Below are 22667 nucleotides of genomic sequence, written 5' to 3' on the forward strand. Positions count from 1 at the left end.
AGGAGTGGGAAATGTTTGCATCAGTATTTGCTCCTTTGGTCAACTAGTAAGTTCTCATTTGTGATTTTTTGAGTTTGATTGGTATGGACAGTCCATTGAAAAAAAAAAAAGCCAAAAAAACATAGTTTCCAGAAGTAGCTAACTGAAAAATCCTTGTCATATTGCCAGAAAGCAGATTTTGGATAAGCCTAGGTTACACATTTTCTCTCTTAACCTTACCTCTGAATGTGTTAAGAGACACAAGGTACTCATCTTCGTTTTTGTATGCATAATACATTCTCACTAGAAGTAATCTTTTCACTTAGTGTTTCAGACTATCATTTGTGTGCAGAACTGAATATGAGCAGGCTTGAGAATGCAAAGATCCTTCTTTGTTGCATAGTTGTTATTATAATGACAAATTTGAAAATCTAAACTTGACATTCAAAACTGTGTCATGGTTGGAGAGCATTCCCTATTGTGTGTTGAACTGTCAGACACTGAAATCGACACAACCAAATTAGTGCAGAAAAAGGAGTCTGGGGAAGTTAGATGAACGGACTTACTGGAAGAGACTGAATATATTTTGAATAAACGGATTAGTGTATAGTTTAAAAGCTAGTTATAAAACAGTGTGTATATAGATTGTGGCTTGTGCATGTGAGTATATGTAATATATATACACTCATATATATAAATAAGCCTGTAAATTTTATATTTATGTATATAGAAAACTCTTTTTATGCATGTGTATGAGTATGTTGTGAATGCGTGTGTGTGTGAGTTGAAGTAGAATATACTTTATCAGGTTAATAGCTCTGTAGATGGTGGTATTTTCAGGTGATTTTTATGTTTTTACTTCTGTGTAATATTTTTGAATGAAAATGCATTATTTTCTAATAAAAACATGAGCTTTAAAAAATTTCATAAATTGACATTAGCTTGTTTTTCAATAACATATTATAAATATCTGAAGGCCAAGTTTCAGAGGTAATTTTTTTTTTGAGACAGAGTCTCGCTCTGTCACCAGACTGGAGTGCAGTGGCGTGATCTCGGCTCACTGCAATCTCTGCCTCCCGAGTTCAAATGATTCTCCTGCCTCAGCCTCCCGAGTAGCTGGGATTACAGGTGTGTGCCACCACGCCCAGCTAATTTTTGTATTTTTAGTAGAGACAGGGTTTCACCATGTTGGTCAGGATGGTCTTGATCTCCTGACCTTGTGATCTGCCCGCCTCAGCTTCCCAAAGTGCTGGGATTACGGGTGTGAGCCACTGCGCCCAGCCATAGGTGATTTTAAATGTAGCAACTGTTTACAAATTTGTAAATTGCTGTATAACACTGACCATAAGAATAAAACTCTGCTATAGATTTAGAAAATGCTCACTTGTGAAAAATAAGGCATGTTCCATACACAAATATTATACACATACACAAGGATTATAACATATATAACTAGAGGGACATTGATTCATATTAAGGGTTCTTGACTTATTCAAAAGCCTGAGTCAGAGGTATATGATCTTGAAACCCATCTCCACGGCTCATCAAAGGAATTCTTAAGTAAATCATAGAAAAATAGAAAAAGTTTTCTTGCTTTATGGTCTCCTTTACAATGCTGCTTAGGAAATACTAGTTGTTTTCATGGTTACTTTAAAGTTAAGGTCACACTTTGCCTTCCTTGACAGTGAGTTACACCTTTTACAGTGAGTTACACCTTTTAAATATAGCTTTTAAAACATTTACTTGTTCTGTTTATAAAATAATTTTTATTCATTGTGTAAAGTTTGAAAATATAGAAGTTATAGAGATGAAAATAAAAACCTTCCAAAATCTAACTGACCCCAAACTAATAACTGTTTACGTCTGGCGTCCGCAGGCTTCATTCTACCAAATAATTTCCACCAGTACGCCTACTGCTTCTGGACAGTTGGTGTGTAGTTACCTTTGGAGAAAATACCACATAGTAGCCAGTGCCCTTGGCTCTGCAGGTCAGCTTGCACACATCCGCTGGCAGGACACCTGCATATTTGGGAACCCATTCCACAAAAGTTTTGACTCCTTTTGCATCAGACTGATAGCCATTTTTGGCCTCACACTGTTCATGACGAAATGATTTACCTAGAAAACAAACATGTTTCAGTATTACCTTATCAGTTCTGAAACTTAGATATATTCTTGTGGGTTTAAATAGTTAATTTTAAGGGGAAGATGCAAACGTGTTTTTTTTATCCCACAGTCTCTTTACTCACCAATGCTGATGGATTTTATCTATACATAGAGTTCAAAATGGTGATTATTTATTCCAATTCTCTGAATATTGCTTATAATAAAACTTAAAAATCACATATGTGGCTGGGCGTGGTGCCTCATGCCTGTAATCCCAGCACTTTAGGGGGCCGAGGAGGGTGGATCACAAGGTCAGGAGTGTGAGACCAGTCTGGCCAACATAGTGAAACCCCGTCTCTACTAAAAATAAAAAATAAAGAAAAAATAGCCAAGTGTGGTGGTGTGCACCTGTAATCCCGGCTACTCAGGAAGCTGAGGCAGGAGAATCATGTGAACCCAGGAGGTGGAGATTGCAGTGAGCCAAGATTGTGCCATTGCACTCCAGCCTGGACAACAGTGTGAGACTCCATCTCAAAAAAAAACAAACACATAGGTGTTTGTTATTGATCTGCATATTGGTGGAACTGTGCAGTATAAGATTAATATTATTTCCCCAGCTTCCCTTATTCATTATTGCTAGAATACAAATGACATGTAGCATATGATGGTTGCTGACACTTGGGAGCAGCGTACCATTGGGTGGGCAGGGCATGAGACTGCAGGAGCGGTAGATGGCCCTCTTCCCTGTGCAGTAGCGTCCGTTGTTTCTGGGAGCAGGGTTATTACAGTGACGATAGGCAAACTGCACTCCTCCTCCACATGAGCGAGAACACTGGCCCCAGGATCCCCAAGATCCCCAGTTGCCATGGCTTGACGTCTGAAATAGAGAATAGAATATATTTTAACTCCAATGAGAGAAAAACATTGAAAGTGTGCATTTGGAAATCACCTGCATTTAATGACAAAGTGGAAACTTTGTCACAGATACAGTTATATTTTCACTGAATTTAACATGATCATGCTTTGGAAATGCAACACATTTCCAGTGCTAAGCAATTCATCTTTTCCACCCTCCCAACTCCAGCACTAGAAGATCTGAAAGCATCATCCTAAGTACTGAGCACACCACAAAGATTATCACCTTTTGGTTTCTACGGACCATTGTAAATTATGTCTTCTAATATGGTCCATCTCTGTTAATATCACTGAACCATGGTAACTTTTTGTCCACTCTGATGTTGGATCTTTATTGAAACGTATAATGCTGAAGGATCTGCATGGCACTGGGCATTATTTAATTGTGTTTGCATCTCTTCAGCAGTAAAACTCTGCAGTCCCTTTGTTGACATCCCACATCCTGTCTGTGACCGACTCCATGACGTTCATAAATGTACCGGACCCAACTTGGCTTAATTCCTAATTAGATGTGACAGATACTGAAATGCACTCACGCCATACATGCAGACACACCCCTTAGGGAAGGAAGAGCCCTTTTATGGCAACCTAAGTCTGTTTCTCTGGAAACATTCCTGGAGGGAGCTTAGAGATTCTGAAAGGAAGAATATGATCAGCTGCTTTGCTGAGGGAATCTGTGAATTGCCTCTGGCTGACTGTGTCAGGTTATCTGATGATGAATGGTTGGGTGATGCCCTGGAAAGATACAGGCAATGGGCACAGGATAATTCTCTTCTAGGGACTTTGCAAATCTTGTGGGTTGAGAGCGAGCACTTATTTTACTTAGGCCTCGAAAATTAATAGGGCAGTTGCTGACCTGAAGCTGGACTGTGTATATAGTGGCAGACGTGTTTCCCCGGAGCAGTCGTAAGTTACTTTAGCTCCTAAATTTAGATTAACTTATTGTCAAGGGGAAAAAAGTGACCATTTGGAGCTCACCAAATATGTACAAGCACCACATGTATCGGCTCTGCTATTACCTCCTTACTGAATTTAAATACTTATATTCTGATAACTTTAGCAAGAGAAGCTTGAAAGTAAACTTCCCAAAAGCAATTAATAGGGTCCTACCTGAGGTCTCAATTAGACAGAATCTGAGTTACATAAGTATTTGTTAAAAGATGTAAACTGCAAATAAATTCCCAGTATCTGCATTTTCCCCAGTAAATCTCGGATCACTGAGAATGGCTACTGCGGGTAAAAGAAGAAGCTCTAAATAAACCTCAAAATGAAAAGTTTTTAAATTAGAAAATAAAGCCTTCTGAGAACAGTGCCCATACCCATCACAAGAATGCACTTCACTTCTTGGGCCTCCAGGCATTGACTGATGAGAAAATCACTTACTGAATAATATTTTTTCTTGGTTTTGTCCACACATTTGCCCTGCAGGCAGATTCTCCCCTTTCCACAAGGCGTCCCTTCCACCGCAGGCAGCTTCTTGGTCAGACAGACCATCTGGCCCTGGCGTACCACAGCACACCACAGGCGAGCACAGACATCCATGCCGGGACACACGGAGTACTCAGGCCCGAATGTCAGGTTGCACTGCTGGGTGGCATCGTAGGTCTGTCCTGGGAGTTCTTCGGGGCCCAGGATCTGCTTTCGTGGTAGGTCCAGCAAACAGTTACCTACAAGAATAACTGAGATTGACCACGGCTCTGTGTTTAGGTTTCAAACCGCTAAAATCATGGATCTAAAAATGAAATGCCCCGGCTGGTGTTGGAGCACGAGGCACCCATGAATCTGTAGTGTAATGCTCTGGAGAGGGACTCCATGGGGACAAGGCTGGGAGCCCCCTTGGACGCACCAGACCCTCCAGGGTTCTCAGGAGTGATGCGCTCCGGAGTGTCTGTAACAACAGAGGTGAGGTTGGCAGGGGTGTGATGGAATAAAATGATTCTGTAATGATTAGTTGTGAAAATAGCCCTTGTGCTAAGGCACTAAACAAAATTGGGATGGACCTAGAGAAAATCAGATGGTGAATTTTAATAATAATAATAATAATGATAATGAAGCATTTACTCTACCACTTTGAGAAACAGAGTTTGTCCTTGGCACTCTATCTGTATAACCCATTACCCATTTCTAACTCACCCCTTCCCCATGTGCCTATCACATGTCTCCTTTCCACTAATTCCATAAATAATAGCCAAGCTGGCTCCTCATTCATTCTTACAGTCACTCGACAAGCATTTGTTCAGCACCTACAATGTTCTAGAAAACACACTAGGTATCTGAAATACAGAAAAATGACCCAGATCTACCTTTGAAGGCCTTCCAATAAAGTCACAGAGATAAAGTATTTCTCTCAGACTGATATAATTTTAATAAAAAGTTTTCAAGATTCACAGAACAAAGGAGCAGTGAAAAAAGAAAAAATAGTCTTTGATAATTTAGGATTAAGTTAGTCTTTATACTCTTTGCTTTATGTCTATTTAATGGAATTGGTGTTTGTTGAGTATTTGGATCTATCTGCCGAAACAAGGTAGGCATCTCATTGCATCATATATGAGGGTGTACAGGCAGAGGGGTGAGATGGGGAATCCACAAAAGCTGGAACATGGACGATGAGAATCCAAAACCTTAAATTTGCTTCCTCTTCCTCTCCTTCCCCTCCCCGCAAAAGCTTCCCTAAGAATCCCTGTCCGGTGAGTTAACATCATTAATTTTCTTTTGTCACCCACATATGCATGCATATTGCCCATCTGTTTCTGTATTTTTCTGTTTACTTTATTTTAGGATTTACACAATTATTATAATAGCAATAAAATAACAAATATTTGTTACACACACTATTCTCCATTCTTTACATATATGAGCTCATTTAATCCTCACCACAACCCCATCAGGCAGATTCTAGTGCATATTTTATTTATCCTACAGATAAGGAAACTGAGGCCCATAGGAGGCAGACCAGTTACCCAAGGTCACACAGCTGTTATGGTTTCATGCTCAGAGCCTGCCCTTTTCTTCTGATGCCATATGGCTTCTGTTAGCATGTGAGTAGCTGCCTGATTGTATTGCTGAAGGGCAGCCATGTGTAAGGATCCTTTAAGTGGTAGATATTGAGCTTAATGGAAGAAACACCCAGTCTGAAGTCTTACTCTGGTGAAATACTAAATGGTTGAGTGCTCCTGGCTAAGTTAGCTAACCTCTCCCTAATTTATTTTCAAGATCTGCATAATGCTTCTCTTCTCACTGTGATACTGTAAATGTGAAATTAGCTAACAAAGATCTTAAGGGTGACCAGAAAAATACAAAGCAATGGTAGTTGTATCCCAGTATATTTAACAGCCTTTTAGATGTACTACAGTTATTCTTTTTATTCAACAAAAAAGTCATATTCAAATCCTTATGTGCCACTGAGAAATAGAATATTCAGCATATTTTAAGTATACTGTAAATTTTTAAGGACTACATTCAAATTTCTTCAAAGTGAATACCTTAGAATTTGTCAATCTGTGTTGGGGGCATTATATAAAAATGAATAAAGAGCAAAGTTCCTATTTAACTTCTGAGCCAGAACGTTTGAAGAGGTAAAGCTTCTTAAGGCAAGCCAGAAAAAGCATTAAAAATAAGAATCCAGCCAAAGAGAACTTTGGGAGAAAAACACCAAGTTAAAAGAAAAACACGAACATCAAGCCGATAGGAAAGAATGATAGTAAAAGCTCACTAAGCTTTGTTTATAAGACAGAGTGCGATTAGGGCTTCAGAACTCCACGAAAAACATTATCTTCATTGCAGAATCAAAAAAGAAGTACTGTGTAAACTAGGGGATGCTTGGCAGATTGCTGATGTTAGAAGACTGTCAACAAATCTCTGAGTCTGCAATAATGTTTTCCAGTTCTTCAAAAGTGCTGTTTTAAGAAAGTTTTTAAAAAAAATTTTACTAAAAAGCACAGACCATAAGACTGGGTAACTAAATATTAGCTAGGAAGTCTTTACCATGTGTGCATGCACATGGCATGGATCTATCTCATTTTTCTGGAGTCAAAATAACTCACCACCTGACTATGCATACACAGTCACTGACACCTGTTCTACCTCACTAGTAGATGACAAGTGAAAAAGAAACGTGTAATGCAATTTGAAATCGGCTTCCAACAAGGAGACTTCAAGATGTGGCATCTCTTTAAAAAGCTTAACTTAGAACTGTAAGTTTTAAAAATAAATAACACATTAGCTTTCTATTCAAAATAAGATATATCAGCTCTATAATTTTCCCTTAGAGGTCATACATGTGGAGATGATCTTCTCTTGCTTAAAATAAAATAATTTATTTCAGAATTGCAATTAATGTGTTATGCCAATGTTCTCAGTACTAGGATTTGTAGCTGCATCAATTTCTGTTTATGCCAAAGCATATATAATTTAATTTTTACATTGAATTATGTCCTTTTGCAACAAAATAGGTACAAGCATCTCTACCAAATGGCAGAATGGTGCCAAGAAACAGTAACAAAAATCAATACAGAGCCTAAGTCTGAAACTCACAGTATAAAATGTTTAAAATCTAAGTAATAACAGATTGGATATACATTTTATATGTTTAAGAAATGTATACAGTTTGGGGAAGGAGTAAAAGGGGAAACTGATCAACCTTTCAGTATCATTTCTAGTGAGCTCTAGAGGCATCCAACCTAGTGCTGATTTTTTTCTTAATCTGTTTTAATTTTATTCTCAACCACTTCTTCACATCTACTTCACATATTTTCTAATTCATCGTAGTCTGAAATTTGATCTGGATCTTCCTGGGAACACTTTGACCCTTCCCTCCTTCTTCCTTTTGTTTTAACATTGTATATTTATAAATGGATAGACTATAAAATAAAGTCAGGCCAGGTGCGGTGGCTCATGCCTGTAATCCCAGCACTTTGGGAGGCTGAGGCGGGTGGATCACCTGAGGTCAAGAGTTCGCGACCAGCCTGGCCAACATGGTGAAACCCTGTCTGTACTAAAAATACAAAAATTAGCTGGGTGTGGTGGCGGGCGCCTGTAGTCCCAGCTACTCGGGAGGGAGGCTGAGGCAGGAGAATCGCTTGAACCTGGGAGGTGGAGTTTGCAGTGAGCCAAGATCGCACCATTGCACTCCAGCCTGGGCAACAAAGAGCGAAACTCCGTCTCAAAAAAAAAAAGAAAAGAAAGAAAGTCAATAGGAATGTGTGCATATTGCATACATGTTTTTACCATTCATGTTAAACTAAATGCTTAAAATAAGGCAAAAAAATAAAAAGTAAAATGTTGTGATTTGAGGCGAACCAGTAAGAAAATGTGTTGGCAGAATTCCACTAAAGGTGTTGGAAGGAATGCCACGCCTCCAGGAAATGGAACAGAAAAATCTCTAGTTTCATATGTCTGACTTATAGCACTATTTGTCTCTCATATTAATGATTAACCAAAGTTGTTTTTTTGTTTTGTTTTGTTTTCAGATGGAGTCTAGCTCTGTTGTCCAGGCTGGAGTGCAGTGGTGCAATCTCGGCTCACTGCAACCTCCATCTCCCAGATTCAAGTGATTTTCCTGCCTCAGCCTCCTGAGTAGCTGGGATTACAGGCATGCGCCAACATGCCCAACTGATTTTTGTATTTTTAGTAGAGACTATGTTTCGCCGTGTTGGCCAGGCTGGTTTCAAACTCCTGACCTCAGGTGATCCGCCCACCTTGGCCTCCCAAAGTGCTGGGATTACAGGGAGTGAGCCACCATGCCCGGTCTCAAAGTTGTTGTTCTTTATTGTTTTCAAATTTTTCTTCCCTATTTCTAGCACTAACATTATTTCCATCTTCTCTTCCTTTTCAATATGCAGGTATGAAATTAAGCATGACCCAAATATTCATGATGCAGGAGAAATCAATTAATGTTCCTAATCAAACTCATCCGAAGAAGCCTAACACCACTGCTTACAATCTCCCTTTGCTTCCACTCTTCATCTCACTGCCCTTGCCCCTCAGCTTTTAGGTCTTTACTTGAATGTCTAATGTTAAAAGAAAAATGGGTGCATTTGCCTGCTCTTTGATCACTCATTCTGGGCCCAGTGATATAAGAATGAACAAGAGCACTTCAAAAAACCAGACAATTGTTGTCAAAAAGCAATTCAAGGGGTCTGGGTATGAAGCTGTTAGATGCATTAGGTATATTGTTGAGCAGATGTAATGGCAAGGAAATTAAATTAAAGATTCCCTGTGATAGAGGATAAAGGAAAGTTTTTAAAAATATAAGTCACCGTGGCCTTAAACTATATGTCTTATTTTCACACTCTATTAAAGAGCATATTTAGTATGAAAATCAAGATACAACCATAGTGTTGGCTTTGAATTTTATTAATGCCACCTTAAAAACTGATGTTAAGCTCTCCTGGCTAGCTTTAGTCTATATACTTAACAAAAGATTCAGAGAACTGGTTTTCCAATATCATTTTATGTGCAAAGTTCTGTGTTCAGTAAGTGGCTGTAAACTTAGCTCTTTACACTACATGACGAATTTTCAAAACCATCCATAGATTTTCCTTAGCAACCTGTGTTGTGAGTGTTCTTGAGCTGTATCTACATAAGTCATGGCCTTTCTCATCATCTGGCACTGTGGACTCAGGGATACAGCAGACACAGCTATCTTTTCTGGACTCAAGGTTAGTAAACATTTGAGAAAGGAAATTCAATAACCTGCTTTCACTGCACAATTTCTTTGCCAGTGCTTACCTTTATTTTTGAGGATCATACTCCTAGCCAGCTTGCCTAGAGCTAGCTTGTATAAACACTGCAGAATGTCTACAAGTATCTTGGCCAAGGTTGGGAGGAGGGGGGTCCCATGAGACATGGCTTCTCCTTTTCTGAATCACAAATCTGCAGACACAGTGACTTTAGAGTGAGCACGCTGGTTTTTCAACCATAACCTAATTGCTGCATATTTCTTGTTGGAACTAAATCAGGAAACACTCAGTACTAATGAATTTACATTTGGCAGTGGACGAGTGCTACAAATGTCCAGCTACTTATGGCTAATAATTTTAAAAATAAATCAAATGCTTTGAATTTAACTTTACTCTCCGACCTCATTTCTCCAGTATTGCTGAAGGTGAGAGGGGGTGGGGTAAGATATTAGACATAAATGGAATTCCCATTTATAATGTACTCTTTAGGTACCATTGAAAAATTGTATATGTGTTGTCAGATTACCTGCTTAAAAATAGCAAATTGCTTTTCTGCCTTTATACTGGTCACAGTTTAACTTTCCTAGATAACTGAAAGTCATTTTTTTCTGTGTGTCAATTATTGTATCATGCTGAAATATAGCACTAACTTGAGGGACCATGTTGGTGAGATAGGGCTTTTGACCTTTAGAAAATGGTACCAGACCACTGTGCCTTTCATGTTTTCAGGCTATTTATAGCCTTTCTCTTATTGTTAAATAATATCATTTCTTGTTCTCAGATTACCTGTCTAAAGTCTCCCCACCCTCATCCATCATGACTATTTTATTGCTTAAAAAAATTGAGTGGCCTAGAAAATTAGAACAGAAAAATGGTAGAACTGTAAAATACTAATAAATGGGCTCTGAGTGGAAGCCTGTGTAGCTTTCTATGAGTAAAGTTAAAAGGTTTTATAATATAGTTTTGTGACATCGTTTAGTCTTCTAACAAAGATGCATCTTTGTTATTCTATCATCTTGGACTGTGACTGTCTTCTTAGTTCTCTCCCATGCTCTGTAGTTGAAATGTTAGCACCTCAATCATCTCTAAAGTGGGTTTGGTAGTTTCTATGGCCACACTTTCACTTACATTGACTTAAGTGAGCTTTTTGGTTACAATTTAAAAGTTATTAAGTTATTTCAATTCATCTTTAAATAATAGCACTACAGGGAGTACCACTGTTTCAATTCTGAATCTGAGTATGCTCTTTTGAAACAAAGTAAGACAGACATAACTGAGCTTTGTCATTGTGCCACACTGCTTTTCTTTGGTTTTTGTTATTCTGAAATCACTTTATTCATGTTATAAGCTACTGATAAAATAGGATTATTTTTATTGAAACAAAAGGCTGCCTAACCAAACCAAGATATTCAAAAGTGAGAAAGTCTAGATTGGATGAAAAAAATCAAATAAGTAAACTATAAGCATTTTCTGCTCAAGGAATTTTGATAATTGAATTTATTTAATATATATACATGAGAAATTTAGATACTTTTTTATTAGTGCAAATGAACAAGATCTATTTCTATTAAAATTATGTTCTTAGTTGTTCTCTATCATGAGCCCTTTGGAACAGAAACAGATATAAAAATATGTAAATTTGTTATAAAATCTTTAAAAAATCAGAGCATAGACTCTTTTAAATATAGAATTAATGTTAAAAATGAAGACAATGCTGAAAGCATATTTACTGCATAGAAATTAAGATCACAAATTCCATAAACATGAAATAAATGAATCATTCCAAAATTAGGAACAAAATTCTCCACAGCATTGTAATTAGCTGACCTAATATTTGCACAGGGAAAAAAATTTGGTCTCATTTTAGCCATAAGTATTTGCTGCCTTAGCAACTAAATCCATTCATTTAGTGATTCAAGGTTTAGCTCAACTTCTTGGAATGTGTAACATGTGATTTTGAAATAAAATATTAATGTTATTTTATTTTCAGAAAACCTGAAAAGAAGTAAAACAGAAAAGCAATATTATGCGTGGAGACTTAAGATTCCACCCAAGAAGGACTTTATGAGATACTGACCTGATCAATGTAGATAGGATGATAGTAAGGTAACATTCATTTTAGGACTTTATCTGCATTTAATCCACAATGTAAACTGAGCTAAACATAAAATTACCATTGTATTACTGGTCTAAGGAAAAAGCTTCATACGTTAATTCTTATTGTTGTTTCCAAGTCTTTAAATTATTGACATATTTTTTCAACTAAAAAGGAACTTTTTTTTTGTATTGAGATATATTTTAAACCAAGCTGGACTCAGATTGCTTTTCAAAATGAGACAAGCAAATATATAGTAACAGGCAGCTAAAGCCTTACCTGTTCACCACGAATGGAGCAAGAATGGGTTAATGAACATATTTTGACTCCATGGTATCAGAGAACTGTGCAGCTGAATTTCTTTAAGTCTGAAATAATTTGAATTTGTCCATTGTTCTGGTATTATGTAGCCACAGTTCCAAACAGTCAACATACTAAAAAATTATGGGACATTGAGTCATAAACTTTGTGGAACTGGGAAAAAGACGGTTGCCATAGATTATTCAACTTTGAACCGTATATCATGAGGTAATTTTATAGAAAATTATTATGATCAATAATTTCTGTCACATTCAATTTAACTACTAGTTTTAGAAACATAAATTTTAAGAGAACATAAAATAAATGAGAATATGTCCATTTCTGTAACATAGGAAATTTCAGCTACATAATGTCTGATGATTCTTTAGAGTGCTAATGCATCTATCCTCCTGTGTTTTTATTACTTTAAAGTACTGAAGAATGCTTGGAAATTTGCAACAGCTTGTTTCAAAGATTACTTAGGGGTCAGAATTTATTATTTCTAAAAATTGTAACTTCCTCAGTATTTCAATGTAATTTACAGCACTGATCCTAGTCTTACAGAATTTAATAAAGTATGTTGTGCTCTTGAACTATATTTGAAGGATAAAGCCAAAGATTTTCTTTTGAAGTTCTTAAAGTGTTTTCCCATCATTCAGATTGCTTTTCTATTTCTGTTATGCAGTTTTTACTCTACTTTCAGGAGAATCTCCTATCAGAATAAAACCAAATTCTTCTAGTCAGTGCAAATCTAGAAAGCTTCCTCTTCTGGGCTTATGTTGCCATAAAGAGAATCCAGTAGAATTGTCACCTACACCTTAACTGCACCCCTATAATAGGCATGTAACAAATAATTCTGAGAGTCATATTAATAGCAGGGAAACCAAGATGTCTGCCAAAGTTCTCACAGGAAGCTAGTGGTAAAAGAAGGAATAAAAGCCAGACTTTCAGGGCACTAGCTAGGCATTCTGTGTGGTCTTCCACACTGCTTCTCCTTTGAAATTTTTCAATTCAAAAGCCAAAATACCATAGCTAAAATGCCACCAAGGACGTTGGCAGTACATACCCACATATGATCAATTTTCTTGGTCTTTCTTCTGACACTATCCACACAACTATTGTCTTAGAGGGCAAGATGAATATTATGAGGATATAATGAAGTCAAACTCCTAAGAATCCCAAATTTTGTTTCTCAGTCTGTGTTCTCCTAAATGATACATACCATGGCCATCATCCAGGAATTCTGTGATGGTGGCTGAAGTGCATTTGGACCAGGGCTTAGATGCATCAATGCTGGTAAGGATGGAAGACATTAAGCGCTTATCTTCTGTGGAACCAAAGGTCTCTTCACAGAATTTGGAATCGTCATGGGAGAGGCCAAGTAAATGTCCTAAGGGAGACAACAGAGGAAGTACAAATAATCCGTGATTGTGTATTTCTATCTTTCCATGACAATTATGCTAGGGCTTGATTTTTTTCCCCTAATTGTAGATGAGTTCACTTTAACTGCTTTCTCACCCAGAGACTGGACCTCCAGGGAAATAAAAGTTGCATGGAGTTAGTGTAGCAGTTGCTTTTGGTGAACATTTCGATGGAAACTGAAAAACTAAAGAGTAGATGTTCCCATAATTCATCTGGATCACATATGCTTAATGTCATGTGGAAACAAAGCCTTATTTAGAATCTAGAGTTTGCGAGACAATTGTGGGATTATGTCATAGCCCTCACCACGTATCATTTTGATTGTCTAATTTTCTGCCTTCTCTGATCAAGCCCCATGAGATCAAAGTGCATTTGCTCCCATATACTGTTGAAACCTCTGTATTGAACTTAGTGCTGTGCAAGTTGCAAACACTTAGTAGATGGTTTTTGAATGTCAGTGACTTATTTTCTTAGTCAAGTAAATAGGTGGCTAATAAAAGGGAGGACTAGGGGAGACAAAGAAAGAGAAGTGAAATGAGGAAGTTTCCGGTTTCTTGCAAAACTAAGCTTGCTTCATCCGTTCATTTCTTTTGGTGATTTAGTGAGTTATGAATGTTTACTATTGTCACAAACATATAGCTCATTTTGAAAACATACCCATTTACATTTTAAAATGTCAAAATACCAATAATATGGAGTTTGAGAGCTTGAAGAAAGGACAGCTTGGTTTCCCAAGTGATAGTTGTGAGTGTTCAAAACCACTCAGCCAGGTGATATTTGTGCTTAAGCCTCTCAACCAACAATGTTCTCTGAAGTTCCAGTCAAGCTAGATATTATTTCACAGAGCCCATAATTGCATTCTTATAATCCAAGTAAATTGCTTTTTATTACATAAGATCAATTTTCATGCAGTCTAAAGATAAAATGATATTCCACAACAAATTTACAATGCTATTTAAAACATCTAGGACAGTAGTTTGAGCAATTACAAACTCTAAAAAGTAGACAGCAAATCATCCTAGTGGTGTTTTTAACAAAGCTTTCTAGAATCATACACAAACCACTAAAACAAATTTAGGAAACACTGTAGCAAACTGATGACTACATTCTCCTTGGGATCTTGAATGCCAAACGCAGAAAACTTTGGCCATTCTAGCAAAAGAGTCCAGTGTGCACCAATAAAACCCAACAGAGATGAAATCTTTCACTTTATATTCCGACTACTTTGGGCCAACTTGTTAAATCACCAACACCTCATAACAAAATTGTCCACTGAGCAACTGACTGCTGTTATGGCTGAAAATAAGTGGCTAGGGCTCGGTGACCTTCCAAGCCTCCACATTTTTATGTTATTTATACAGATATTTACTTCGACAGCATTTACTAGGCTTACAAGTTTTCTCTGGGAAGTTCTCCCACCACCACTTAACATTTTGTTTGGTCAGTAGCATAAGTGTGCATTATAGTCTATATATAAAGTATGTCCCAAATAACTTGCAAAGGAAATTAGCAGGGGCTCATCTAATTTTTGAGTGGTTTGTTGAGTTTTTCAAGAAACTCACAGCTCACAGAAAAAAAAAAAAAACAATCTTTCATTCATGTACTATTAGAAATGACTTAAAGTTACTTAGTACATGAAATACTTGCTGATATCGCACTCTACACTTCCCGAAATTTTCCAAGATAGAAGATTTATCAGTTAACACTGAGGGATATGGTGGAAATTTCACTCTTGAGTTTTTTCCTCTGGCATAGAAGAAAAGTGTCCCCAAGTGACCTCTGCAACATAATATTTATTTGAATCCAGGTTTTTACTTAAAAAATGTGATGTATACATTCTACTTCATAGGATATTTATATTTATTTAATGAAGTAATGGCCTTTTCCTCCAAATCTATATAAATACATAGCACTTTCCATATGCCTTTTTATTATTGTATCAAGAGATTTTCACTTCATTTGGAGGGTAGATTTTAGAATTCTGATTTAAAATATAGGACACATGGCAGACACGAAATTCACTTTGAGGGACCTGAGAAAGTACCTTCATTCTCTCTTTCAGAGAGGTGAAGCATGTAATTTTAAAGGTTTCAATTATGTAAGCAAGTCAATTTAATTTTGAAATATTTCAGCATCATTTATGAATCTTTTGGAATACTAGTTAATATAACATTATGACTTCTATGCTCCCCAAATTTGCTCATTTTCCACTGAAACTTAATTGCCACTGAAGATGCATAGAGGAAATTGCACTGCGAAAGACTGCCTTTCAAGCATGAACAAATCTTTGCTTCACCTCAGCAAGGGGATGTGACTTTTGTAAGATCTCCAAAAGTCAGGCAGAAACAGACTGCTTAGAGTCAACTGAAAGAGATCGACTCTTTTGAGGGCGAATGAACACTCTGTGCTCCATGAAGAAAGCCTGTCAGCTCTCTGGGAGAGGCATGCTCTCTCAAGGGCAGCGAGAGTCCTGGGCAATGTGAAGAACACTTAAGCACCCAAAGTAACAGGCAGCCAGTTCCAGAGTAGCTGGAACCAGGGCATGGCGAGAGAACCGCGTGACTTCCCTTCAGGAGCTGGACAGGATATGAAAGGGAAGATCAATGTGAGGGATGTTTGGATGCTCTTCAGGAAAGACGTGACACACATTCTAAAGGCTGCAAACAGCAAAAGGAGTGGTATTTTGTAATTCGAGCCCCCAGTCAATTATGCTAAGACATTTACTCTTAGTTGAAATCGGCCTTGAAATAGCAAAAGTATACAAAAGTATAAGCAATTTTAAAGGAGTGCTCACGGTAAAGACGGCACGCTATGATACCAAAAGCTAACTACCAGAGAAAATCCAGAATCCGGGGAATTTAAAATACAGTGTCACAGCTGACAACTGTCTTTTAAGTAGGGATTGTGAAGGGGAATTGGAAAAGCTAATAGCTTTGAAGACATCTGCCTTTTCAGGGAGAGTTTGTTCATAAATCATTCACAGAGATGTTTAAAATGAATGGTGTGGTTTGGAGATTAAGCATTTCTTGGACAAGCAGACCCCAGGAGCATTAGCAGCAGATAGGATTAGATATCCCTGTCTCAGAGAGTAAAACAGCACATGAAGAATATAAAAGAGTGTGGAGAAAATGTGTACAATGCCAAAAGTAATTTGTTGTTTACATCAAATTGTATTACATGATGAGTTTTTAGAGCAATACAGAGCAACAGAGTTAGTTGAGGGTGAGGTTTTAGAGGAGGCAGGGGGATGGAATCGAGAAATCCACATAGAATGGCAATCCTTACCCTTGGAAAAAGAGAAAGAGTTCTTTTTTGGAGAGTCAGAGTGTTGCAAGAGAAGGGTGGGGAGGACTGAAAGCCATTTTGACAGAGATCTGAGGAAGCTCCCTCACTAAAATAGGACGTGAAACTCCTAGTGAGAGAAAAGGCAGAGGTGGGTTTCGAGGTAACTATCTGCTGTCAGGATTTAAAGCAGAGGTAGTGAAGTCTTGCTTTAGGGAAGAATTAGTGTTTGTGTTTAGGACCATTTATAATCAGCAGACATGCAAAAGATCGAAAAGCAGTTTGCTTGAGCAATTTTGTTTACAATACTCTTTCTCAGCTATCTTTAATTCTTGATGATGTAATTGGAAGCTTTTCACCTAAAACCCTGAGGCAACTAAGGACCAAACACACTTGTGTAATAGATGCACTTGTTAATGACCTCTGTATTTATATGCTAAATAGGGTTTTAACTGGGGAGGGGAGATAGAAGCCAGAGTGAAATTCAGAGAATAATGCAACTGTCTAATCCACGAGTATTTTCCAAGCGGTGCCTACCTCAGAACTATATTTATTTTCTTTTTTTCTTTTTCTTTTTCTTTTTTTTTTTGAGATGGAGTTTCTCTCTTGTCGTCCAGGCTGGAGTGCAAAGGCAAGATCTCTGCTCACTGCAATCTCCACCTCCCGGGTTCAAGTGATTCTCCTGCCTCAGCCTTCTGAGTAACTGGCAGTACAGGCGCACACCACCATTCCTGGCTAGTTTTTTGTATTTTCAGTAGAGACAGGGTTTCACCATGTTGGCCGGGGTGGTCTCGAACTCCTGACCTCAGTTGATCCACCTGTCTTGGCCTCCCAAAGTGCTGGGATTACAGGTGTGAACCACTGCGCCCGATCAGAACTGTATTTCGCTGTTTGAAATAATTAGTAAAAGCTAAGGTGTAAATTGTGTTAGATGATGTTGACCTATTCTTAATTGATGTTAAATCATACAACAGTCATGCTGAGTGTCTGTCAGCAAGTAACATCAGAAAGGAGTTTATTTGAATTAATCTAAGAAATTAAATGTAATGATAAATTATGTCAGAGTAAAGTCTATAGGACTGAGAGTTTGAGTTACATTGTTAGCTCAGAAATAGCAAACAAATCGTCACCTGATAACTTTTCTGGTATGAAAATTCTCTTTTTCAATTGGCAAAGGGGTGACATTTTATAAAATAAATGTTATCTTTGATATTCCCAATACAGATTTTAAGAACACCTTGCTTCATTAAATTCACAAGAGAATCTGGTGTTAGAAAATCTGTGATAATGTGTAGCCAGATGAAGACACATCACTTTAAAGGAAACTGTTGGTTCAGCTTCTTATTCAACCCAGGCATTACTGTACAACCAGGGCTGACTTATAACATTAACCTCAGGAAGGAAATTGGTTGTTTTTCTAAACTTTGGTCTGCAAATTAAACAGAATTTCAAGCTCTTGTCTCCTGATCCCAAACTGACCAATGGTCAAGGGGACACAGTACCACATCCTAAAAAAATGTCACAAGAAGCTCTGTAATGTGTTTACTCGGGAAAGCACTGCTCAGATGAAGCATCTGTTTCTTAATGAGGTCATGTTTTTATTTTACCTAATTTTCCAGCTGGGATTATGGAGGTGCACGGTCTTGCCAGGGGTTGAAAAGTGAGTCAACTGCTCACATGGAATCAGAATCTAGAATCCTTGAAGAAGGGAACCATGAGCTCCAGTCATTGGATCATGCATGCTTATTCAAACACGAATCTTTACATAGATGTGATAAAACTCTTATAACTCCCATTTGAAAGCATTAAACATGAATGGTAAATGTGGTATCAATTATGTAATTTGGAAGGAAGAAACTCTAACTTTTTCACCTTATAACTAGCTGTGTCAATATCCTTTTGAATCCATTTCAGAATTATAGCCTTTAAAGTAAAAACTGTCTAAAAAAACATTCTAGAAGCATATAAACATCTTGAGCTCTGGAGCCAGATGGATTGGGTTTTAATCTCACTTTAGCAGTATATTAGTTGTTGACCTTAGACGGGTTTAGAAAGTACCCTGTGTGTTAGCTTCATTCTCTCTCTTGGGTGACCCACTAATGGTACTTACCTCATGGCATTTTGTAAGAATTAAATGATATAAAACATGCAAAGTGATTAGAATATGTGCTTGACATATATCAAAGGACCAGTGATTGTTAGCTAACTTTATTGTCCTCATTGATATTCTGGGATTGTTATATACTTTTACTTATGAGTATTCTAGTAATCAGTGATATATATATATATATATCACACATATATCCATATATATATATCACACATATATATATATATGGAGAGAGAGAGAGAGAGAGAGAGAGTCTTGCTGTATCACCCAGGCTGGTGTGCAGTCATGCTATCAAAGCCCACTGAAGCCTCCATCTCTTGGGTTCAAATGATCCTCATACCTTCTGACTAGCTGGGACTACAGGTGCACACCACCACCCTTGGCTAATTTATTTATTTATTACTTATTTATTTATTTTTTTACTTTTTGTAGAGACAGGGTCTCACTATGATGCCAGGGCTTGTCTCAAACTGTTGGGATTACAAGCATGAGCCACCACACCAGCCAACAAGCTTTGATATTACTAGACACTCTTTATGTGGGAGGGAAGAGGAAACTTCCTAAACATAAAAGAAAAAAAATCACTCAGCAAGTGTGTGTTAGAGTTACTTTTTATGCCACCTTCAATTTGCTGGTTTCCACACATGTGCTAGATAATCTATAGGTTTCTCCCTAGAGAAACATGAATTGGGATTAAGTTTTTAAAAACTGACAATAGACACAAAATCTCTCAATATTCCTCAACATATAGCAAAAACTTATTCCCACATTTTATTTGGGGGCCAAGAAAGACATAGTGTGGCTTTCCTCCAAACTGCTTGTTGATTAAAGCAATGGGTTTGCGGGAAAATATCAAGTTTAATCCTAGTTTCCTTCGAACTTTACATCTTACAACAAGCCTGGACATCTGATTCTGTGTATTTGGATTTGGTCTGTGGTGTTTCAAGAACCTCTGCAGCTTTTCAAAATATGGCCGTGTTTAATCTAATCATCTACAGAAGCAGAGTCACACACAGATCAGCACAACCAGGGAACACCTTTTAACCACACCAAAACACAGGCGGCTTTGCTGTTGTGTCTCAACCACTTCCTAAGTCTCAGCTGAATATTTGGTCTTGACTTGTTAAGTTGCCTGAGTTTAGCTTAGGAAGCACACTGGAGTCTTTCACAGTAGAGAGATTCACTTAGTGCATTTTATAATTAACCACTATAAAGCAAAGCTTCGGCATGTTTGCAAATTATGGATTTCATTTGTCTAAATAAAATCAGATTGTTCCTCCTAGTGTATTAGAAGCTGGCCCAACATCAATAAAATTATTGTTTTTAAGGACCATATGTGCAGCAGGTGAAATCTTTATTATTACAAGTCAATAATAAAAGTTTGACAAGTTAAAATATAAACTCAAAATGTAAACTTACACTAACTTGAAAACTTTCTGCAGTTCACATTTGGATTGTAAAGTGGCTGTAAACACATTCCTGCCTCCACTCGAGGAACATGGATGGGGACTGTGTTTTTGATAGTTTGAAGTGACTTTCTGAAATGTCTTAACAATTTAGCCAACATTTACATGCATATAACACAAGAAGGAAAGCACTTTTTGACTGCCTATCCAGAATCAATGTCAATCAATATCCATCTTCCAGAAGTCTGTATTGGCATCAGTTGATTAGTTACCTTCAAAATCTAGCAGCTTTTTTGAAAGAATTAGCAGAAAAAAAGAAGTGTTCTAGTTTCAAATGGTATATGAAAAGAGTAAGTTTTCATAATTGTTCATTTTTAACCTGTGTCATTTTGACTTCAAATAATTTAATGCCGTGGGTAGAAATGGTGTCAGATAGAGACTACAGCTCTGCCTCTATTTACCTTATGAGTTAATTATCAAGGTAAGATTTTTTTTTAGGTGGGGGGCTCACTCTGTCACCCAGGCTGGAGTGCAGTGGTGTAATCATAGCTCATTTTATCCTCTGTCTCCTGGGCTCAAGCAGTCCTCCCACCTCAGCCTTCTGAGTAGCTGGGACTACAGGCATGCACCACCATGCCCAGCTATTTTTTCTTTTTAATTTTTTGTAGAGACAGGGTCTCCCTATGTTGCCCAGGCTGTTAATGAACTAAAAAGAAAATTTTGATTCAGTTTATTCATGCACAAAATAGATATGACTTTCTATTTTAAACCACTGTGAAGAGAAAGAGGAAACAGTTGTGCGTTTCCACGAGAACCTGTAAGTAGGTTAATGGAAGAGTTATTCTTGCTCAAATATATCCTTTTACTGCTTATAGAAGAAATAAAGTAGAAAAATTATGGGAACAGCCTGGGAATCTCTCCTAGCTTGTGTTTTGAGCACAGTAACACATTCACACTGTTTGCATAAAGGAAATTACACATTTTGGAATGAGGCTAGAGTAAATTTAAAACACTGGAAAACTGAGCATTCAAAACGTCATTTTCATCGCCATACTTTGACCATATACACATCTTCCAAATCTAGAAAGTCACAAATGTCTAGTAAAAAGGAAGGGGGATGGTGAAACCCCATCTCTACTAAAAATACAAAAATCAGCCAGGTGTGGTGGTTGGTGCCTGTAATCCCAGCTGCTTGGGGGGCTGAGGCAGGAGAATCTCTTGAACCTGGGAGGCAGAGGTTGCAGTGAGCTGAGCCTGCGCCATTGCACTCCAGCCTGGGCAACAAGAGTGACCCTCCATCTCAAAAAAAAAAAAAAAAAAAAAAAAAAAAAAAAAAAAAAAAAAAATTAGGAAGAGAGAAGATTGCAGGAATTGAGAATTAGAATCGAGAGCATGGTTAGCTCAGACTGAGAGCTTCACACAGCAATCCAAAAAATACAGCACGGGAAACAAACCAGCAAGCTGCATTATCCAAGATCACACTGGCTGGAGGGGCAAGACTCTGTAATAATACACAGATGATCAGGAAATCTTTTGTCAGGCTATCTTTCCTAAACGTTGAAGGCTTATTTTTTATAACACATGTTCATAATATTTAGGCAAAAAGTGAAATTAAAGAATAATAAAGAGATTAGAAAATAAACTGAATGAGAACCAGATTCTTTTATGAAAGCAGAATTGAATCCATATTCCCCCACTTCCAGACCTTAAATAGCTCAGATTAGTTCATATGTAATACAAAAGGGAAGTTAAATAGAGAGTGTTTGATTGGGCAATGAATTACAGGGACTTCTAAAGAAATAAACAAAGATGATCCAACCAAAAATTTAAGTGCACAGAAGGGCATAATCATATATCAAAGATTTAGGTTTTAGTTTTCATACAGAAGCCCACCTTTCTCCTACGTTGTTTCCTTGTATAACTATGTCTAATATTCTTGTACTATTGAGAAAAGTTCTTACTGTGTGTGTACACACACATGTATATATTTAGTTTTAATATAACGTTTGTGCTTATCAGCATCTGGCTTCCTGCCTCTCAGACTGCTGCATCAGCCTTGTAACCCAAGATTGCCTTAGGAATTCAGGAGAGCTGGGAAAGGTGACCCTGCAGGGCTCTTCAATCCTCCCTAGTTAACTTGAGGTCAAAGCATCCCTGAAGAAGCTGCACTTATTGCCACAGTGTTTGTCTTACAGGGAAATCTCCCAGATGCAGTCAATGTGTGAAAACCAATCACTAGAAAGGAAAGAAACTGCCCTTCCTTTAAGGAATGTGGAATCTTTCCTTTTGAAGATCAAGATTTGGAGCCCATAATCCTGTGGATGGATGACGCCAACATTCAGCTCTGCTGCTTATTCCCCATAATTTCTCCG

General features: G+C 37.6%; 1 protein-coding gene across 2 annotated transcripts in view, besides 2 other annotated features; it reads right to left on the reverse strand.

Moving 5' to 3' along the window:
• The window catches only part of ADAMTS5 (ADAM metallopeptidase with thrombospondin type 1 motif 5), a 49167-nt gene that overhangs the window by 12161 nt on the left and 14339 nt on the right, over positions 1 to 22667 (reverse strand). Inside the window, exons 3-6 of one of the 2 annotated variants that reach the window (NM_007038.5) lie at positions 13298 to 13465; positions 4384 to 4667; positions 2779 to 2962; positions 1922 to 2097 (exon numbers count right to left, since the gene is read on the reverse strand). In NM_007038.5, coding sequence (NP_008969.2) covers positions 1922 to 2097; positions 2779 to 2962; positions 4384 to 4667; positions 13298 to 13465 — 812 coding nt within the window. The remainder of the gene's footprint in view (positions 1 to 1921; positions 2098 to 2778; positions 2963 to 4383; positions 4668 to 13297; positions 13466 to 22667) is intronic. The other variant, XM_047440680.1, reaches the window with a different exon arrangement.
• Positions 12402 to 12571: an enhancer, noted in NCBI's record as "experimental_61884 CRE fragment used in MPRA reporter constructs". NCBI's record gives its function as "activates a minimal promoter by MPRAs in K562 erythroleukemia cells, with activity observed for the introgressed 21:28314888 or rs186196009 variant allele {active_cell/tissue: K562}" and the evidence as "EXISTENCE:reporter gene assay evidence [ECO:0000049][PMID:34662402]".
• Position 12487: a transcriptional cis regulatory region, noted in NCBI's record as "Neanderthal adaptively introgressed variant 21:28314888 (GRCh37/hg19 assembly coordinates) or rs186196009 in the experimental_61884 CRE". NCBI's record gives its function as "modulates activity of the experimental_61884 enhancer by MPRAs in K562 erythroleukemia cells {active_cell/tissue: K562}" and the evidence as "EXISTENCE:reporter gene assay evidence [ECO:0000049][PMID:34662402]".

Source organism: Homo sapiens, chromosome 21, assembly GCF_000001405.40.
Source record: "Homo sapiens chromosome 21, GRCh38.p14 Primary Assembly".
In the NCBI taxonomy this organism is placed as follows: Eukaryota; Metazoa; Chordata; class Mammalia; order Primates; family Hominidae; genus Homo; species Homo sapiens.